Source organism: Homo sapiens, chromosome 3 (assembly GCF_000001405.40).
Source record: "Homo sapiens chromosome 3, GRCh38.p14 Primary Assembly".
In the NCBI taxonomy this organism is placed as follows: Eukaryota; Metazoa; Chordata; class Mammalia; order Primates; family Hominidae; genus Homo; species Homo sapiens.
Genome location: NC_000003.12, coordinates 86,054,817 through 86,077,178, shown reverse-complemented (window position 1 = coordinate 86,077,178; position 22,362 = coordinate 86,054,817). Strand labels below are relative to the sequence as shown.

The window sequence follows — 22,362 nt, the reverse complement described above, 5'->3', positions numbered from 1 at the left end:
ATAATGCTCTAAGAATAATATTAAAGAGGAAGAATCCAACTATATTCCCAGTGACACAAAATTACATAATAGAAGGACAATTTACTTCAGTGGTTAGTTTTATATCTTAAATATGTGTCTTTCTCTAAATAACCATGTGACCTTTGGCCTGAATTTTCTTTTTTGTAAAATGTTGTGATAGTTTAAAAGATTTATTCAAAATTGTCTTTTATTGGAAGCATGGTATTTTGTTTATATCTCTGGGAAGACAAAAGGTATTTGGGAGAAGCAGAGAATCACACGGTGGGAATACTCCAACATCTTAACACCAAGACCACAAGTAGGTGAAAGAAGGGTTGGTGAAAGAAGGACAAACATGAATGAGGAGTGTTTCTAGAAATGGGAAACATGATTTTTGGTACAATGCCATGGTGATAATTTCTTAGCCTAGGGTTCATGTTAGACTTAAAATATGCCCCAAATTCTAAGCAAAGTACTGTGTTTATGTCAAATTATTTTATGATTCTACCAGATTAGCAGAAAAACCAGTAATCAAAATATGATTTTAAATGCCAATAACTTGTATGGTTCCTACAGGCCATAGAAGGAACTTCAGGGTCATATGAGGCAATACATATCTTATTCTTTGCTTAGGAGCAGAAAATAGTCTGAAGCTGGTGAGTGAATAATTCATAGCAAGAGGTACAAGGTTGATGGGTTTATATTTTCCTGGAAACAAATCTAGTTTTGAAAAGTTACTTTTTTAAGCAAATAAATATGTAATTGGTAGACTATATAGTAAAAAACAATTGGAGTCATTAGATCCTAAATCCTCCTGTCACGGAGACACCAGAATTTGTGGACTTGTTAACTATCTGAGAATACATTCCCTAAAGCTTGTCTGATTCTCTGGCAGGATATTGGAATGTGTTCTGTTCTTTGGCAAAATTGCCAAATATACAAACCTTACCTTAGGAATTTTCCAATTCCTTTTTGATCTCCCAATAGGTTGCAAAAATTTTCACTTCTTTATATTCTTTTCATTCGGAAGTAAAAAGACATATTTCTGAAATATAACTTAGTTGAATGTTTTCAAATTTTAGAGTAAATGGTTGCAGTATTCCAAGGTTATGATGTTTTCCAGAAATACTTCATTAGTTTAAAGGTGCCTAAATTACATTATTATTGTATACTAACTTCCATAACAATGGATCAGTAAAATATCCCGTATGTTCATATTATATGTATCCTCTATCTGTGTAAGGATTTTGATCAGTAAAGACAAAATGAATGAAGGTTTTGGTAGAATGTACAAGGCATGTGTTTTTAGGACTCTCAGTAAGTCACCCATTCTACTGATTGTTTGGGCCAATCTTCAGAAGGAGACTTGGCCGGGTGCGGTGGCTCATAGCTGTAATCCCAGCACTTTGGGAGGCTGAGGTGGATCACTTGAGGCCAGGAGTTCAAGACTAGCCTGCCAATATAGTGAAACCCCGTCTCTACTAAAAATACAAAAAATTAGCCAGGCATGGGGACGCATGCCAGTAATGCCAGTTACTGAGGAGGCTGGGGCCCGAGAATCACTTGAACCCAGGTGGCTGTGGGGCAACAAAATGAAACTCGGTCTCAAAAAAAAAAAAAAAAAGAAGGTGATTTGATTTTCTGTATATTCTAGCACAGTAAAGTATGTGCTTATTAGTCAGACCTTTTTTTAATCGATGTAGAAAAATATCAAACTTCAGATCATAAACAGTAGTTGAAAGATAGGTCATTCATTTGTAATTTTTTTGTTTGCTTAAATCATAAGATGCATTGTATAATTACAATTTTTTTAAAGTACTGAATTTCCTTATTCCTCCGTTCAGCATAGGAATGCTTAAATATGAAGAAAACAACAATTCTTGGAAGGATAATTTAATTATATTACAGAACTAAGTTATGGAGGTATCAGCACAAAATACTATGTTCAGGTTCTTGGTAAAGTTCATGAGGTGAACTGATGACAATATAGGTGTTCAATACTTGTGCTACTTTTTTTCCTAAACTTAAGCCTAACCCTCATTCTAAGCCTATAGTGATGTGTTGATTAAATGACATGTAACACAGAGCAGCCTAAGTGGTATTTGAAATGAAACTGAGAAACTGTTTTTCTCCTTTAATCTTTTCTCTAGCCATTTGTATGTTTTCTAGGTTTCAAAACACTAGAGGATAAAAATTCTTAAATTTTACAAAACAGATAAAGTATGATTTGAAATTTTAAAAAAAACCATACATTTCCTGGAACTTCTTAGTTTAAATGTATATACTGTTATATATTAGCAATATCCTGGAATTATCATATAATGAAGGGCCTTCATAGGCATCAAAACCCAATTATTAATAACACTTAGACTTAATATCCTTTAGTGAATTGTATGAACCAGAATTTCTAGTGTGCCTTCAATTCTATACATTATTTGACCAGAATAAGAATTGCCATTATGAAAACAGAGTGGATTTACCTAGCAAGCACGGGTTCCATATTTGTATACAGTTGAAAAGCTGCATAAGAGTGGGCATTTTGGGTAATTTTTTTAAAAAAAAGAACACATGTGGATGAATGTTTTACTTCAAATACCATTATTTTCTTTCAGATGTGCTGAATCTGATCTTTGATACAGTGTCAAATTTCCTAACCTGTAATGCAGGGCATTTTTTTATATTAAATGGAAAAATGTGAATTAAAAATAAAATAAAACGTTATTTAATAAAATAAACCAGATACAAAATCTTGCCTTGTATTTACAGATAAATTTTAATGGAATATTTCATGGTCTAACACAAATATGAGACCCAATGACACTAAATCTTGTACAGCCTTTGGCTTACCCTGTGTAACAAAATCTGTTATTTAAAGTAGACTATAAAATACTTTATGGTAAGTGAACTTCCAAAGACACAAAGAAAATCCTCCATAAATTTAAAAGCTTATCTGAAATCCTTATTGGCAGAAGCTTAGGTTGGATATATGATTAATTGCATTATCTTAGGTAGCTGAAATATATAATACTGGTTAGAGTGTGAAGGTTAAAAAAAATAGGTTTAGGTATTTTTGCTTCTGTTCCTACTCAACATTAGTAAACACACATAAGTGAATGTAAAATTACCTTTACAGAGTTTTAAAATTTTGGCATTCTCAAGCAAATTTCCCTAAGTCAGCAACATTTTTTTTGACCCTTAGTCATCACTTTACAAGGTTCATATATTCCAAGGAATAACGATTAAATGTTGTACAAATAAGATAACATTTATTTTACTGATGCTTAATTTTTAAAACTTCCACTTAGAAATTTACAAAGAAAATGGGCATCATCGAGGAAAACTAAAATGGATGGATAATGTATGAAGTTGAAAAAAAGGTATTCAAAATAATGTGTTTGGCATAAAGAAGTATGTTTTGTACCATCGATTTAATGACCTGTCACTGGAAAAAAGAAAGTTCCATCTTTCAATGTCTGTTTTCAAGGTTAAGAAAATGTACTAAATGAATAGACAATTCAGTAATGTCCAACAGATAACTAAAATTCAAATTTTATTTTTCCATATTTATCAGACAATTTTTTTCTGACAAGACTTTACTGAAAGATGAAGTGCAAATGGGAACCCTGTAAAAATGTTTATAAGAGTTGTACATGACATATTTTAAGCGCCGCTAAGTACACATTGAATACTTTGTAAGTATATAGGCATATCAACATGCAAGTGTCATGTACCAAATATTACAATATGCATTTTGTTTTTTGAAAATGTTAATGACAAGAGTAGATTCAATAACTGTGTTTCTCTATTTTCTGTGCTTATATGGTTAATTTGTTGGATCTTCTTTATAGCACAGAATTTATTTTTTATGCTGTCATAAATATACCCTTCCAAAAGTTATGAATTTCATGTCATATAAATAGCACATTTTATTTTTGAAGCTACATTACTGGGAACACCTGCGTTTCTGGATACCGTTTTCAGAGATAAGTCTTTAAATTATTTTTAACATGGCAGACTTGTTCTAATGTTGGTTATGTTGAAATGTTTATGATAAAAATGGAGCTTTCTTGAGGGAATATTTTTTGTTTGAATGAAAAGCTGAACAACAAATTCACAAATATTGATGTGAATGCAATATGAAGAAAACAGGTCAGTAATCTCAAATTCATAAATCCTTGGGTGATGACTTAACTGCGTCATTGAATCTACAATAAGTACAGTAGGTACAGTTAAATAAATTTGTAAAAAGATTAAAATTGTGTACATTTATAAGGAGAAAGAGTACTAGCTTTGAAAAATTTCTAGATTATTTTTCTTTCTATTTATGAGATTTATTCCATACATTAAAAACACAGAGAAAAGCAAAAAGGATAGAGATATAACAATTCAGTTTACATTTCATAGTTTTTTAACCAATTGGTGACCACTGCCTTCAAACATCAATATTTTATTGCGTATGATTTTCACTATCAGTAAATATAAAGAGAAAAGTGTCTACTAGTATCATGTACACGAAAAAGCATCTGAAGAAAGAAAGCATTTGAGGTTTGACAGTACTGTTTGTAAGCGTAATGTTGCATTTCATACCGCACTTAAAAGTCCATGTAGTTACTGCTGCTTTGACCCTGGATGTGGGAAAAGTGCTTAAGTGCTGAGCCCTGGTAGGTTTTTGTTTTGCCCCTGCAATCTTCAAATATCTTTTAACTTTTCTTCTTTTGAAATATACAGTATATTTCGTAGGGGAAAATAGTGTTTTTTTTTTGTTTTTTTTGTTTTTTTTATATCTTTTTCACATTTGGGCCCATTCTCTCCAAAATAATCATACATTTCTTGACATATATATATAACTTGAGTTTCTTGAGTTATATATATATAACTTCTTGATATATATATGCATATAAAATATGTGAAGATCAACCAAATATTATTGATAACATAACCACATAACATAGAAACATCTTACTTTAAGCATATTTTAGAGATTAACCATTATAATTTGAGATATTCATGTTTTTATTTTTTCCTACAGAAGAATCTGTCATTTCTTTTAGGATAATTAAATTACATCATTGAAAAATTCTTAATATGTCTATGCAGACAAAATGAAGTGGGCATTTGTGGCAATACTGTGCATTATATGAGGATTATTTATTAATAAGGATGATTTTTAAAATACTTAAATTTGTCTCGTGCAGATAATACTACTTGGTAAAATAATTCATATACATGATTTTTACTTAAAACACAGCATGAATTTATAAGAAATTGTTACATTTTAAAAATTAAATATCAGATTGGATCGCAAAGTGTTGCCATTTTAATTATTTTTAAAAACCAATACAATTATATTAACATTGAAATATTAAATAGGCAGGAGAAGGACTATTCTTATAAAGTTATAATATTTTGCCTTTAGGAAAAGCTAATGATAGAAAAGGAAAAACAAATGCAGATTCATACACCATAGAATACACTGAAGAACTTGGCTTTTGAGATTTCCCAGGGGGTGGGGAGTGCACTGTTATAATAGTTCCATAAGAATGCTTCCTGGGATATCTGGTAAATAATTATTTCCTCTATTTATATTGAAGTATCATAGCCCATGTTAAAAGTGAGAGGTAGAAGGATTATTGTAAGTATGCATGGCAGAGAACTTACCAGCTATATCCAATAACTATTGCATTCAATATTAATAATCTCAATACATAAAAATGCTGATGATTTTAGAACCCATTGTTATATGTTGTCCCCTTTAACTCTCTTTATTATCTTGCTACTTTCAATCCATTGCCTTTGGAAGGGTATGAGTGCAAAGGGCTTGTTTGGGGGTAGAATAGAGAGAGAAAGGGAAAAAATGAATAGAAAAAGAAAAGATATTTTAAAATTCCCATTAAGATATAGTGACTTTAACTATTAAAACTACCCTATGTTCTTTCATTGAATACATTTGTACTTGCTACAATCTATGAAAACATGCACACATTTCAAACAAAATTGAAGAATTCCCAATTCAATGAGATATGAATCGAAATTTAAAACTCAGGTTATTTCTTTCTCTGCAATAACACCAAAAACTAATCCAAATAAAAATGTTACTGTGTCACATTAATAAGAAAAACTTAACTTGTCCTTGAATTAGTTGTATTTTTAATGAATGCTTTAGTATGTGAGAGGTGAAGATTAGCAACCTCTTGGATCTTGCTGAAGAATTCTTTAAAATCCCTTTGCATTAAGTATCCAGCAATAGAACTGCAGATATTGCACTGAGTATATTTCAATATTGCCAGTGTATATTTCAAAACAAATTCTATTATCTACACTAAGATTTCCTCTTTCCCAATATTCAAAATGCATATTATAATTACATGGGTTTCCAACATCCATACACAGCAAGTACAAGATACTTACATGTACGTACACTGTAGTTACCTATATTTTGCATAGTTTTTAGTGTGTACTTTGTGCCACTTAATAAAAAGCATTACTCAACAGTAATTCTCATTAGGTGTTTCATTTATTTGGCTGTGATTACTGCTTTTTTTTTGTTTTGTATTGTTTTATCAGAAATTACCATTTGCAAAGGGAAATAATATTGGGCAATTTTAGAGACTCTAAGTAATTAGCAATACCATGGGAAAGTTGTGGTAAGACATGAGGTTTTGCATTTTCTCCACAATTAAAAAGCATAATGTAAAATTTAATATTTGTTGTCCACTAAATTACCTTGATGTCCAAAGAAAAACAAAAGGCATTTGAAATGTTCCCCTTGGTAACACTTTGCAATAAGTGGCACTAAATTACACGATAACTGCTATGTTACATGGAAGAGCCATCACTGTCAAACAGCTGCTATACATGTGCCTATATGAAATCTCAATGCTGTTACAATCATGAGTACATAATTACAAATGAGCCTGTACTTTTGATTGAGATATTTATATTTTTACAAAGAAATAAAAATAAATGAGGTGTTAGTTTCTTTGCCATATTTAGGAAAGTTAGTTTTCTTTCTCTATTTGTTATTTTAATTGTGGAGTTTCAATGAAAGATTAAGCATCATGAATCAATATGAGATCATCCAGTTTCTAGATTAAACTCCAATATCAGGTTCCTTAAACTGCTTCTTGGATTCTCTGGTAAAAGAAAACAAGTTGAAATTTCTCTCTCTTTTCGATTTCTCTTTCTCTCTTATACACACACATATACACACACACAAACACGCACACCATCAGTACTCTGCTCATGCGCTCTGTCTTTAATCTTGCACTCACAAACATTTCTTTTTCCTCCTACTTTTGATAATAATCCTATCTAGAACACCCAAAAATGGAAAATAAAAAAGAAAAGAAAAGTAAAATGCCGCTTAGACTTGATTTTGACGGAGGACAATCAATTTACACTGTAAACAGTACACTGGCAGAGAATAGCTACTTTTGGTAAAGAATAATGCTCCATATTCTACTAAGGGTGTGTGTGTGTGCACACTGCTTCCATTGAGTTCCCTACCTACTGTGCTCACTTAGAAGAGACAGAAATTGACTCTATGTGCACACAAGTGTGCATGTTCCAGACAATGAAATTGACATCATTCTCATTTAGAAATATTATGTCATTATTTTCTGACTTGTTGGAATAGAAATGAGCATAATTTTTACAATTTATTTTTTGTTTGGTTGAAAATTAAATAATTTTTAAAGGTATGAAAATATGACTTCATTGATATTGTTTTCTCCAGTTCAGAACATGGTGTCTCATTTAAATCAAACTATATTTAATAGGCAAACATTTAATTAGATCCCACAAATTATAATATACCAGCATTTATAACTAGTATAATAATCTAGTTGTTTTAGCTAACTGGTTTTATAAGAGTTCTAATGAGATTTTATATTACTCTGAAGGGTTAAAAGAGTCAAAAATCATGAAATGCAACCAATTTTGGATTTCTAATTTTACAGTGCTATAAATAATGATTGAGTTATTTAGGCAACAATTTAGTTGTTGGAGCCAAGTAGAATATAGATGAAATGAAGAGGGATGTAAATACGGCATCGATGAAGAGTAGCAATTTTGTAAGTGCATCCTGAAATTAGGCTTTACATAGTAATTGATGATGCAGTTTGTACAACTTACTTCTGTAATAAGAACCTTTCCATTTTGTACTAACAGGATGAATTTTGCTTTGTGGAGTCTTTCTAAAGATTATGCATTGAAAGATATGAACAGTTTATAAACCTATTCTAGTTTCAATGTGTCTAGTAGCACCTACCTGATTCTCTCAAACTACCATACTATATTAACATATTATTGCATTTTTCCACAGATGGTATGGAGTGAACTGTAAAAACAAGCATGCAATCACATCAATGCAGACTTATTTCCTTAAAATGTCATACTGTATATGATTTATTATGTTAACACTCAACCACATCATATTATTTATGTTCTGTATATTCTGAAAAAGTGCTGCTTGACTGACATCGTCCTTTTTCTTTTGTAAGAAATCAACAAGATAAATGCTTCAACAATCAAAAAAAAACTTTAAAATTCTAACATTTTCCTTAAAAGATTTATACTTTTTTGATAAATAATCAAAGATACAGCACCCTTGTCTTTCATTTGATATTAATACATGATGTTGCACTCAACCATTCTTATTACCCAAAAATATATTCCACAATACTATTTTTAAAACCATAGGCCATCATGCGTCAGACATCACAAGTATAGCTACCATACTGTCATATTTGTTTTCTTCTTAAAGGTGCAATGCTTGTAAATGGGATTTTTTTAAATCTAACTGGAGTTTTATTCTTTAGCATATAATAAATTTAATGAGAACTAATCTAACAATATTTTATTTTACTAGAAGAAATAATAAGACTTTAGATTAACTGTTTCATATTTAAGAATACAGCATTTCTTAATGGTTAAACACGCCAAAATTTTAAAATAATCCAGAGAAAGAGACTTTCACTTTGGAGTTAAAAGCATGGCAGAAATTCTCTATCACTCACTGTTTCATCAGTTTGTACCTCACAAAATGCATAGACAGGAATTTAATATAAAGAATTAGTTCATTTATACAGAAAACATATCTTAAACACTTCTTTTTGGCAAACCAACATAGGTAAGCAGCTCTGGAACTGCAAAATGAAAATTTGTAAATTTTTAGCAAACTAAAATTTATTTTTAGGTTATTATTCAACTGTGGTTGTAATTTAAAACCTGAGGCTGTGCACTGGTTGTTAGCTTAAAATTACCTTTCCTTATAACATTGTGCTTCCATTGTATAACAAATAAAAATTAACAAGAACTAGAAAAATTTGTTGTTGAACAGTGCTAGGACATACAGACAAAAATACTAATACATGTTATCTACTTATAATATTGGTTTAAGTAATACCTAAAGGGATATAATGGACGTTAGAAAATGCTTACTTATGACTGAATTACATACAGCCAAAAAAGTTAAATATGTATCAAATAATGTTTAATTGGATTTATTATATGCACTATATACAGATACTAAAATGTCTGAAAATTGTGCCCTATGGATACTTCAATATTGTTTAGGCAGGTGAATCTTTATGAAGCAAATAAATTATAGAATCAAATTAGAGAAATGAATTAAATATTTGTGATTCCAAAAGCAGTAAATCATTTGGAATAATTTATTGGTAAATGAAGCTACAATATCCTAATAGTAAGATCTCTATAATTATAGAAAATACCATGTCATGATTGCAATTCGTACACATGGCTCCTGTATCAAATACTATATTTCAATAGCAAATCGATACAGCTTTACCAGTATAATCTCCAACATTCCAAAAACTACACTATAGTGTTTTTTTTTAATTTTATGTTTTCTAGGACATATGTTTCCAAAGCATGTTGTCTTTGAAGACAGACATGTAGAAAACATTAATTGTAAACCTCTAACCTTCACTTATTCTTAAATACATTATGTCCTTCCCTAATCCTGTTACTTGTGAAAGCTGTCCAATGGCAAACTGATAAGGTCTATGACTTAAAGGGGAAAAAATGGGGGAAAAAAACTCTGCATACATTTTTTAATGTATAAAAACCACTCAATATAATGATCCAAGGAGATGATTAACATTGTTAAGGCTGTATATTCAAGCACTGTATGTTAAAAGAGCAATGGTGTGAAATTTAGGCAGTAAGAAATGTCCTGCATTATGGATGGTACAGTAATTAAAGAATGATGCTTTCAACAGCTGATTGTTGGTATACACTGGCTACTGATAGCAGTACAGTATGGGAGTTAATAAGGGTAGCAGACGATGGTAGAAATGACTTCTGAAAGATGATAGCCAGTTTTCTCCAGCATTCAGCCTGGTAGTAAAACTCAGAATCTTGGCCTGCATCTTAAATGAAATACTCTTTTTTCTCTTCAGCATTGACTTGGCTGCCTTCAGCATTGATAATGGCTGTATCAGCATCTGGTGCATCTTCAGCTCCTTTAGCTTCATTTGTTAAATACGTTCCTGCATATATTGGAAGAAAAATATGTTAGCTCTGTGAGACTGGTAAAATACCCAGCATTAAAGCTACATTATTTAGGAAGAAACTTTTGCCAGATTTTTGAGACCTAATATGCTACCCGATTGACTCTTCTAAAGTTGCACTGTTTTCTTACAGTTTTCAGGTACGCTGCAGGTGAAGTTATGGCTTGATTTACTACAGGCAAGAGCCAAACTGAAATGGGTAATAAGTAATTGTGACTTCTTTAATGATGGATAAAATCAATGTGAACCTTACAGCTGTAGCAAACAGGGTCTTTTGTTAAGATCTTTTTTTTTTTTTTTTTTTTTTTTTTGAGACGGAGTCTCGCTCTCTCGCCCAGGCTGGAGTGCAGTGGCACGATCTCAGCTCACCGCAAGCTCCGCCTCCCGGGTTCAAGCAATTCTCCTGCCTCAGCCTCCCGAGTAGCTGGGACTACATTTTGTTAAGATCTTAAAAACGGTCATGTCAAACTTGTCACCGTTTCTTTTGGTAAACTTCTTTAAAAGTAGGTTACAGCAATAAAGTGGTACCTGGCCCGTTGCACAATATATATTTTCCTCACTAAATATGGCTACACAGATGTTCACAAACTGACAAAAACATCAACCAAATAGTTATAGTTGGATTTCAGTTCTAGATATAAATTACAAACTTTCTTCCATATTTTTTCTATTTTTCTGAGCCAGTGGCTTACTCTATGACATCTGGCCATTGGCTAAACATTATTTTGCTAAGCCAATCCAACTTTAAATTTAAGTAAAATAATTAAGAATTCGCTGAAATAATTTAGCATTTCTCTCTATCTCCCTATTCTACACATGTACAGAAACATATATGCACTGATATCATATTTTATAATGAAGTTAGTCTAGAATATTTTGCCCACATTGTGTACTCTGGCTAAATATAACGTACCTTTATGCCTTGCCAGATATCGACCAAGCAGAAAGATAGAACACAGCGTGACAAATACAACTACAGCCACTATTCCTCCTATGAGAGCATGGTCAGGGCCATTCTGGCCAGCCAAAGCATTAGGATCTGGAAAAGACAGGAAAATATTGTTCTATTTAATGTGTTATTTAGTCACAGAATACATAACTGCATTAGAATGAGTTATTTTGAAAATTAACACAATTTCTGTTAAATAATACATTAACGTGCATTACACCAGTCATCCTGTGAACAAATATAATATACAAGGTATCTGGGGATATAACATTTGATATATCAATCACTATTGCCATTGAGCTTACATTTTAAGGAAAAGATTGGATAAGCAAATATACATATATAATTTTGTATAGCTATAGACCTTTCCTTCCTCCTCACCTCCATCTGAAAATATGTGTGTGTATGTCTGCATATTTCTTTGGTGTGAGTAACAAAACTATACTGTTATCAAGTTAAAATAATGTCATGAGAAAGCCTGGGGATGAAAATGATAATTTGAGACTTATCATTATATAAATGTTATTACAGCTATGGAAATTGACTAATTCACCCATTGGTGTCTAGATGGAGAAAATAAGAGGTCTGAGAACTGACCACTGGAAACTTCCATATTTAAAATTCAGGAAGAGGAAGAACTTCCAGTTGTGCAGACTGAAAAGGAGAGAACATTCAGAGAGGAAGCGATATTGGAGAAAACACTGTAGTTGATCAAAGGGAAGAATGTATTTTGGCGGGAAAGCAGGGGTTGAGACTGTTAAATGCTGTTGATAGAGGAAGATGAATACTCAGCATCAAGATTTAGATGCCGGTGGAACTTGTGATTCTAGAGAAAGTGATTGGAAAGAGACAAATTAATAATATACTTTCATGTTCTGCATTTACTAGGATTTTACAGGCAAGAAATCAGCCCAGAAAAGGATGGCCAGTTTTCAAGAAGAAATGAAAAGGTCATTTTAATGATCGCCATTCTAACTGGTGTGAGGTGGTATATCATTGTGGTTTTGATTTGCATTTCTCTGATGGCCAGTGATGATGAGCATTTTTTCATTGTGGAAGACAGTGTGGCAATTCCTCAGGGATCTAGAACTAGAAATACCATTTGACCCAGCCATCCCATTACTGGGTATATACCCAAAGGAATATAAATCATGCTGCTATAAAGACACGTGCACACACATGTTTATTGCGGCACTACTCGCAATAGCAAAGACTTGGATCCAACCCAAATGTCCAACAATGATAGACTGGATTAAGAAAATGTGGCACATATACACCATGGAATACTATGCAGTCATAAAAAAAGGATGAGTCCATGTCCTTTGTAGGGACATGGATGAAGCTGGAAACCATCATTCTCAGCAAACTATCGCAAGGACAAAAAACCAAACACTGCATGTTCTCACTCATAGGTGGGAATGAACAATGAGAACACTTGGGCACAGGAAGGGGAACATCACACACCGGGGCCTGTCGTGGGGTGGGGGAAGAGGGGAGGGATAGCATTAGGAGATATACCTAATGTAAATGACGAGTTACTGGGGGCAGCACACGAACATGGCACATGTATACATATGGAACAAACCTGCACATTGTGCACATGTACCCTAGAACTTAAAGTATAATAAAAAAATGTATATATATATATTAAAAAAAAAGAAGTGAAAAGGTCAAAAGAATACCCAGACATTTGGGCACTCAAAAGTTTGGAAAATTAGCTCTTTATAGAAGGATAAAACTGAGTGAAGACCTGGGCAATAAAATCCACTAAGACTCAGCCCTATGACAAAGATCAGATTGAGTGTACTTCCTGCTCTCCCAGGTTCATTGTTGCGGATAGCCTCAGGATAGCTATTTATAATTTACAGATCTATTTAACGGACAGTGAAAGTAAAGAAGTAAATTAGGCTTGGCAAGAATGCCTTCAAAAACTAGAGCTGGATTATAGGAACATTAATCTGACAAATAGATTGTGAGTCTTCTGTATTTTTAATGTAACTGCTGTGTCAAAGGATCATATGTCTAGATAGAAAAAAAAGTCTGACTGTTTGAAACTTCAAACAACGTCTAGACACCTAAACTTGCTGAATGCAAAATGTGGACTATAAAAGCTATGTATCCCCGATGGAGGACATACTCCCCGACACCTACTTCAAATATGTCATGGACTATGACTAACTAGGTTGAACTCAACAGAAGGTAGAATTTGGGAAAGCAAAAAAGAATGAATAGAGGAGAATCCAGGTTCTTCAGGGAACAACAAACCTTGTCAAGACAGAGGGGACTTGTAATGCCAGCCTGGCATGTTTTTATAATTGCTACAGATCCCTGATTACCCTGTGTATACCATTCTTGGTTTAATTCCAAATGGGAGTATTTATTATCATGAAGTACTTCTCCTCTATCATGTGTATTGTGTATGCGATGGAGAGGAGAATTAATAACTTGTCTTATTTTCACTTCTTTTCACCAGATATGGTGAAGAGAATTGTGCATATCTGCGGATCTTGAGCTTTGAGTTGGATACCTTGGTTTGATGGAACTTTACGTTGTTTCTTTAGATGGGATGTGGTAGTGGTTTGTGTAAAGGAAACGAGGTGAAAAAATATTCGGTGATCAGAAGGGTATATTGGGGCAGAGATTTCTAGCTGATAACAAACATCTTCTTTGCTTTCAGTTATTAGAACTAGGCATTTTCCAGTCTCTGTTACAGTTGATTAAACAAAGTGATTTGTGTTCTAGACAACTAAATGAAGGCTCAGCCGATAAAAATACCTCACACATGTAAGCCTCCTGAGTGATCTCAGGAGATGAAAGTTGAAGATAAGAGAGTCAAAGGAGTAAGTAAAGCTATTGGTCACTAAATCTCTGCCTGAAAAAAAAAAAAATAACAATACACACTATGTTTCGTTTTATGTTTTGCCCAGGCTGGAGTTCAGTGAGTGGCATGATCTCAGCTCACTGCAACCTCCACCTCCCAGGGACAAGCGATTCTACTGCCTCAGCCTTCCAAGTAGCTGGGATTACAGGTGCCCCGCTACCATAGCTAATTAGCCTCGGCTAATTTTTGTATTTTTTTAGTAGAGACAGGGTTTCACCATGTTGGCCAGGCTAGTCTCGAATTCCCGACCTCAAGAAATCCACCCACCTAGGCCTCCCAAAGTGCTGGGATTACAGGTGTGAGCCACTGCACCCAGCCTAACAATACACCTTTGAAATGCCTGTTGCGGGTCGGGGTGAGGGGGTGGGGGAAGCTTTACTTTAAAAACATTAAACGTTAAAATTAAAGTTACTAGTTAATTTTAGCTCTCTAATATCTATTTCTTGTATTTCCCTACATTTCTATCATTGCCCATAAATCTCCAAAAATGAGGAAAAAATAAACCTGTCATATTTCTGAATTCTCTATTTGTATTACTTGAAATATCCTTTGGAATCAGTTCAAAAATCCACCTCTTGCTCAAGTTTTCATAAACAGACAGTCATAAATCATATCCATTTTATTTGCTGAATATCTTGCAGAACTGGGCACTCTTTTAGAGAACTTAGAAATCATTTTTGTTCATACATCTCTGCACCTGTCTTTCTTGCTGAAGGTAAATTCTAAAAAGTATTTCTGGATCAATGGTATAAATATTTTGTAAAGGCTTTTGATAAATATTGTCAATGTACATTGCCAAAAAATTGTACAAATTCAACCCCCCCCCCACCATCAACAGCACCTGAGGGATTCTTTTCTCCATATTGCATTAACATCAAAATATAATTTTAAAATATTTTGCCATTCTGATGTGGAAAAGTAACATCTAAATTTAAATGTTTTGGATTAATGAAATTACAGGTTAACATAATAATGTCTAAATATTTTCAGCTATTTTAATTCATTACTTTTGAAATGCCTGTCTATGCAATTTGCCCATTTTTCTATTTAAATTTTGCTTTAACAGCTGTCTTTAAAGATTAACAATTTTTAGCAAGTTCTCTTTATTTTTCATTTTTGGTATTTTCAGATAGATTAGTCTTACAACTTTATGTAATCAAATCCATTAAATTATTATGTTATGACACGTGGCTTGTGGGTCATAGAATAAAAAACACTTTTGCAATAAGATTATATGCATACAAATCTTTATTGTCATCTAACCCTTTTGTTATTATATCTTAATCCTTCTAAAATGTATTGTGGTCTATGATTTGAGGCTAAAGTGTTAAAATATAACTTCTGTTTTTATAGCCAGCTGTCCCCCACAGAATTTCTTTAATCAATAATTTTATGTAACTTACCATAAAATAATTGTCTATATATTTTATATGTTTCTGCACATTCTAGTCTATATGAGTGATCTGTATGCCCAATATTACACCAGTATTATGGTTTTAAAAATCAGTTGAAGGACTTCTAAAAACACCCCCTATCAAGTTCAGAAAAATTTTGGAAGAATCAAAATATAACAGATTATTTATTGGGATTTATAAACTTATAAATACATTTTGCTTTATATAGTGTATTATACATAATCAGCATGAGTCTTTAACAATTCAAACATTCAGTGTCTTTTAGTAAGTTGTGTAGTTTTATGGTATTGGGTCATATGTTTGCATTAATGTTATTTTCTGTGCTTAAACAAAATTTTTAATCATTGAAAATGTTTAAATATTAACATATTAAAAATATTCAAAGCTGTTATTATTATTATTATTATTATTATTATTGAGACATAGCCTTGCTCTGTAGCCCAGGCTGGAGTGCAGTGGCACGATCTTGACTCACTGCAACCTCCACCTCCCGGGTTCAGATGATTCTCCTGCCTCAGCCTCCTGAGCAGCTGGGACTACAGACGTGCACCACCACGCCCGGCTAATTTCTGTATTTTCAGTAGAGATGAGGTTTCACCATATTGGTGAGGCTGGCCTTGAACTCCTGACCTCGTGATCTGCCCACCTCAGCCTCCAAAAGTGCTGGGATTACAGGCGTGAGTCACCGCATCCGGCCATTATTATTTTTTAATTAAATTGTATGCTTTCTGTATTAGTCTGTTATCATGCTGCTAATAAAGCCATACCTGTGGACTGGGTAATTTATAAGGAAAAAGAGGTTTAAGGAACACAGAGTTCCTGTCTCAAAAATAAATAAATAAATAATCTTTACATATCCTTGTATTTTCTTTTCTCATTTTTCATCTTACTGTTGGGATGACTTGAACAAAGACTCTCTGTTCTGATGCTGATGGTATTTCTTGCTCATTCTTAATGCAGTAGATCAATTCAGGTACAGCTATCTTTGCAACTGAAATATGAATTACATGACATCTGTACCTAGTGAATGGAATGGAGGTAGTGTCTTAGGATATAGATCACTATTAGGGAAAGGTTTCATTGATGTATTTAATTTTTTTTGCCTGTAACCTTCATTCTTACAGTAGAATCTCAGATTATATATATAGGCCATTTTCTCTTTCCTTTTTTTTTTGACATTAAAACGATTTGATCTGTTAAAATTTGTTGTAGATCAATTTAAATTTATCATGTTCATTATTGTTTTCAGTTTGTTTCAGATACATTCAGAGATAGATTAACATAACTTTTGAAGAAATTAATTTATAACACATATTTATTTGATCCTATTCATTCTTATAATCTGTGAAGGAAATACTTCAACTTCCATCTTTCATTTCATTGACAAAGTAAATCAACATATTTTCATAGGATTTTAAGGTTTTAAAGATAATATGGATATGAGAAAAGTTACTTTATATGTCTACAAGTAAGTGTATTTTTAAAAAAGTAATATTTTTGGCTATGCTTTTTTTTAAATCCCCATAACTGTTAGAACTAAGAGCCTCTCCTTAAGTTTTTATTCTTAGCAACTAAAACAAATGTTTGGGATTGAGGATAAGTATTACCTGAATGATGCAGGAAGAGTACATAATTTAAATGGCTAAATTTCAATGGCAATTTCTCATATTTCCTCTCACATCTACCTCCTATTTCATAGCAATAAAAAGACGAAGTAAAGCTTTCTGAAATTTCTTAACAGAGAGCTGTGTCTACATTGTTATTCAGATAAATACATCATGTATTGTTAAAGATCATTTTTCATTCTCAAGCATTAGCCCATGATTTGTTGGCATTAGCCTGTTAATGTTGGAGTAAATTTCAGGAGATGTGATAATACATTAGTAATCTCTTTTACCTGACAATGCAGAAAACACAAAAGATATTGTAAACATAAAGCTTTCTGAACTTAACAACTTTCATTTAGAGTTATTTGATGCTTAGTAAAGACTCCAAAGAGAAAATTATGTCAAATTATAATACCTAAGTTCAGTAATTTTAAATATTTACGAGTGAAAAATAACACTAATTTATAGTTTTACTTAAAATCTTAATATGGAGAAATCCTACATAATGTAATTCTATCTCTGAAATCATTGCTGGGGTTTCTATCAAGGGTCTAGTCTATTGTGTTTTCTGTTCTTAAAATACAAGGTACAAACTCAAATATGAAGAATTTCTGGCCTTTTAAGATAACAGTATGTAGAAAATATGAATGCAAGTAGCTTTTCATTCTAGTGTTGGAATTTTTTTTTTTTTTTTTTGTAAGATGGAGTCTCGCTCTGTCACCCAGGCTGAAGTGCAGGGGTACAATCTCAGCTCTCTGCAACCTCCGCCTCCTGGGTTCAAGCTATTCTCCTGCCTCAGCCACCCAAGTAGCTGAGATTATAGGCATGCATCACCATGCCAGGCTAATTTTGGTATTTTTAGTGGAGACAGGGTTTCACCAGGTTGACCAGGCTGGTCTTGAACTGCTGACCTCAGGTGATCCACCTGCTTAGGCCTCCCAAAGTGCTAGGATTACAGGTGTGAGCCACTGCGTCTGACCATGTAAAATTTTTTTATAAAAAATACTTTATTAAGTTATTATATTTGATTTTCAGTTATAAATATAATGGTAGGAAATAATTAAAATGTAAATCATTTTATTTAAAATATTTTAAAATTAAGTTCCAAGGACATTTTTATACAAAGAAAGTGATTATTATTCAATTGTTATTATATATTAAAATAAATATGTTTTCAAAGTCAAATTTTGATTAACAGAAAACTCAGTGAAAATTTTTCAAGTGGAAGACACTGCTTACAAACTCTGGATTTACAAATTGTTTACACCAAGCCTTAAACCATTTACTGCTATCTGTGTGACACAGGTCAGGTTTTTTAGCCTTCTCATCTTTAGAATGTGAATACTTATTTCCCAGCATTGTCAGTGACTAAATGTATCAATACTCTGAAATGGCTTAGAAGAATGTCTGACACAAAGGAAGCACTATCCAAATGTTAGTTTTATGAGGAAAAAAAAAAGAGAGTTGGAACGTATAAGCTGCCATGTGGAAAAATATAGGTTTCCTTTTTCAGCCTTTTAAAAGACTCATTCAGGACTTTTAATTTACTCCATGTGAAAACTGTGAACCATTCTAAGTGTCTATTTGAAAGATTAGGGAAAATATTAATACAGAAAGATTTGCATAACATGAGATTAGATGGAAAAAGAATCTGGTGGCAGTCTGATGGGTGAGGATTAAATAAGAGAATAATTTGTTGAGTATTTAATCTGTGTCAGGCTCTATGTAATATATTGCAATTTTTTTCAATGTATGTAAAGTACGTACTCAGAAAAATCATAGTTATCTCGAAACAGCTTGCTTAAACTAGTTTTGAAATAATCTTGGAAAAGCTTTAAAATTAACTATGGAAGTCAGTTTTTAGTATGGCTAAGATGACTCCTATTTTGGGAACGAGAGCTGGTTGAGGTCATTTATAGCATTTTATTTTTCCACATAGTCTGTATTCCTTTTTTTTCTATCATGATGGAGAATCCAATGCCCATCCATGCTAAATAATCTCCTGTTATTTATGCTTCTTCATCCTGTAAGACATACTTCTTTCCCTCTGGGCATGCAAAGTCCGAACAACAGTGATCAGTCTCTGTCAATTATCCTTGAATTATTTAGTCCAGGAGTTTACTCCTCCAGATTAATTCACTTGTTTAAGTTTTATCTTCCCCCAAAGATATGTTTTCTTGAAGATAAAGGTTGTTTCTTACACTTGTAATATAGTTGTAACAGCACTTTTACACAGTTCTTAAAGCTAAGCAAATTGAGTGAATGAATAATATTAAATTCTTATGCTAAATTCCAAACAGATTGTTTTTTATATGCCAATTTGCTGTGCTGAGCAACGGATCACTGCCCCTTCATAATACTAAATTATAATAAAACTGTTACTATCAAGTATAAATGACTCATCCAGATATGTACTTAATTACTGCTTTTTATAGTTTGATTCTAACATTAAATTAGAATTTTTCCATATACTTAAGGGCCCACTTCCCCCTATTTAAAAAGAATAATTCTTCAGAAAGAGGGGCACTATGGTACAACATTAGAAACAGTTATACATAACTTGTGGGAAAAAATAAACTGTTCTTTGACATAAGCAAAGTCCCTGGAGAGAAATGCGTCACTGCGCTTACTCAAGGGCCATCTATTATGTCGTAATTTTATGTACAATTACTGTTTCTGACAAAAACGCTTAAGAATACTATCTAAGAGATAGAAAACATGAAAATATATAATTCTTCATATTTGTGCAGTGATTTACACATAGTTTTAACTATACGTAATATGTGTAGAAACTTTGAGTTTTAAATTAAGGCTACATCATACAACAGATTTTCAATGACGGGTTAAAGCAAATCCAAGCAAACACAAAACTTAATCTTTCCTCTCAGAATGTATTTAGTGTAACACAAATTTATTTTCCCATGAAGCTCATAAAAAACAAATGGCCCCACATGTTTATATCTGTAAGAGTACATAAGTTTCCTATTCACAACGTTTTGGGCCATACTAATTATAAAATCACCATTTTCTTTGTTTTAGTTTGGTTTGTTTTTAGTGTTCCAAGGCTGTTTAGCTTAGAGATACAATCAATTTACAAACTGTTTCAGTAAGTGCAATGTGATTATCAGGAGTGCAGAAGGAAACTGTTGCCACTCCGTGCACTAATTTCATGCACTGGACTGCAGCTTCCCTCCTGGGAAGATTGTCCCATTTCGTGATCTGATCTGCTCATCCTTTCTTCATTATTTACAGACATCCTAATTATTTCACAATAAATTTTATTAATCTATACTTATACATGATCAATAATGTGCTGGGCACAAATAAAATATGTCCTTGAAAAAGATACCCTGTTTGTTCTTGAGAACAAAAATTAAATGGAAAATGTATCCGAACATGGTATTTCTATTTTTGGAAAATGTAGGTTCTAGCATAGTTCTCTTCCTTTCAGCGATCTTTTTTGCTGGTGAATGCAGGCTAGTATTTCCTTGACTATTTCAAGTGAGGAAATTTTTTAGCTCTGAAGAATCTGAACAACTCCAGAGAGTACTCTCAACCAGCAGAGCAGTGCAGCTATTAGAACTAAGGGTCCTTCACAAAACGCTTCACCTCCTTTCCCACTGACATTCATAAAGTGAGAGAACTTTCCATGAGGAGATTACCTGTGTGATAACAGGAGGAAGGTGAAAGAAAAGGATGTTTTTAAAGGCTATCTAGGTGATCAAACGGAAAATAAAATAAGTTTTTGGATTGCCATGGATTACCATGGGGCCATTTGCTGCTGAGAAAAGTCAGCTAAGTTATCCATTGGGCACATAACTTAGAGTCTAATTTTCCTTCATAAAATAGTAGTCTCTTTTTAAGCTCAGAGATCTCAAATAGTATTTCATTCTAGTTTCCATGTGACCAGTGTAGAGTTTCAGTTTCTCTGTTTATAAATGAGAATAGGTACCTGCTCTGCTTTTCTCAAAACAGTCACTGTTAAAAAATCAGTTTATAATGAATCTGCTAAGGTCTGAATGTTTGTGTCCCTCCAAAATTCATGTGTTGAAATCTTAATCACCAACGTGATGATATTAGGAGGTGGAGCCTTTGGAAGGTGATTAGGTCGTGAGAGTTATTCCTTCATTAATGGAATTAGTGCCCTAAAATAAAATATTAGCCAGGCATGGTGGCATGCCCTTGTAATCTCAGCTACTCAGGAGGCTGAGGCCAGAGAATCTCTGGAACCCAGGAGGCAGAGTTTGCAGTGAGCTGAGATCGCGCTACTGCACTCCAGCCAGGGTGACAGAGCAAGAATCCCTCTAAAACCAAAAAAAAAAAAAAAAAAAAAAAAAAAAGAGGGGATGCCCAGAGTTGCATTGCTTTGCCCTTTTCACCATGTGAGTACACAGAGAATACACTACACTATCTATGAACCAAAAAGCAGGCCCTCACCAAACATTGAATCTGCCTGCACCTTGATATCATAATTCTCAGCATCCAGAACTGTGAGAAATAAATTTCTGTTGTTTATAAACTACCCAATTGGTGGTATTTTGTTATAGCAGACCAAATGGACAAAGACAGGACATATGCATATGTCATATCTAAAAAGTGTTCAATAAATATGCAAATAAAACAATGAGCTTCATAAGGTTAGACATCCTGCAACAAGCCTGCATTTTCTAGTTTGGGGTTGCTTTTATCAGAAAAAAATATATGCTAAAATTCATTTCACAGTGCCTAGTTTATTTTATGTGATATATATAAATTGCTGCTTTTTATTCTGTTGCTTCCTGTCTTTCTCTCTTGGAGCTGTTCTGCCTTCAATGTCAACAATACCAAACTCTTCACACATCACTGTTCTCTGTCCACACACATAAAATAAATAAATAGGAACAACCATTAAGAAAAAAAATAAATGACTTCAATATGACATTGCCATATATCCATTTTGGCAATGTATTCTGTGAAAATCTAAAAAGATAAATTA

The 22,362-nt window shown here is 32.9% G+C and overlaps 1 protein-coding gene across 16 annotated transcripts in view; it reads right to left on the bottom strand.

The window, feature by feature from the left end:
• Positions 1 to 2,749: 2,749 nt before the first annotated feature.
• Positions 2,750 to 22,362, bottom strand: part of CADM2 (cell adhesion molecule 2) — a 1,115,441-nt gene continuing 1,095,828 nt past the window's right edge. For all 16 annotated transcript variants that reach the window (NM_001375961.1, NM_001375960.1, NM_001167675.2 and 13 more), the window contains 2 exons: positions 11,449 to 11,574; positions 2,750 to 10,514 (listed from right to left, as the gene is read on the bottom strand). In NM_001375961.1, coding sequence (NP_001362890.1) covers positions 10,396 to 10,514; positions 11,449 to 11,574 — 245 coding nt within the window. In that variant the 3' untranslated portion in view covers positions 2,750 to 10,395. The remainder of the gene's footprint in view (positions 10,515 to 11,448; positions 11,575 to 22,362) is intronic.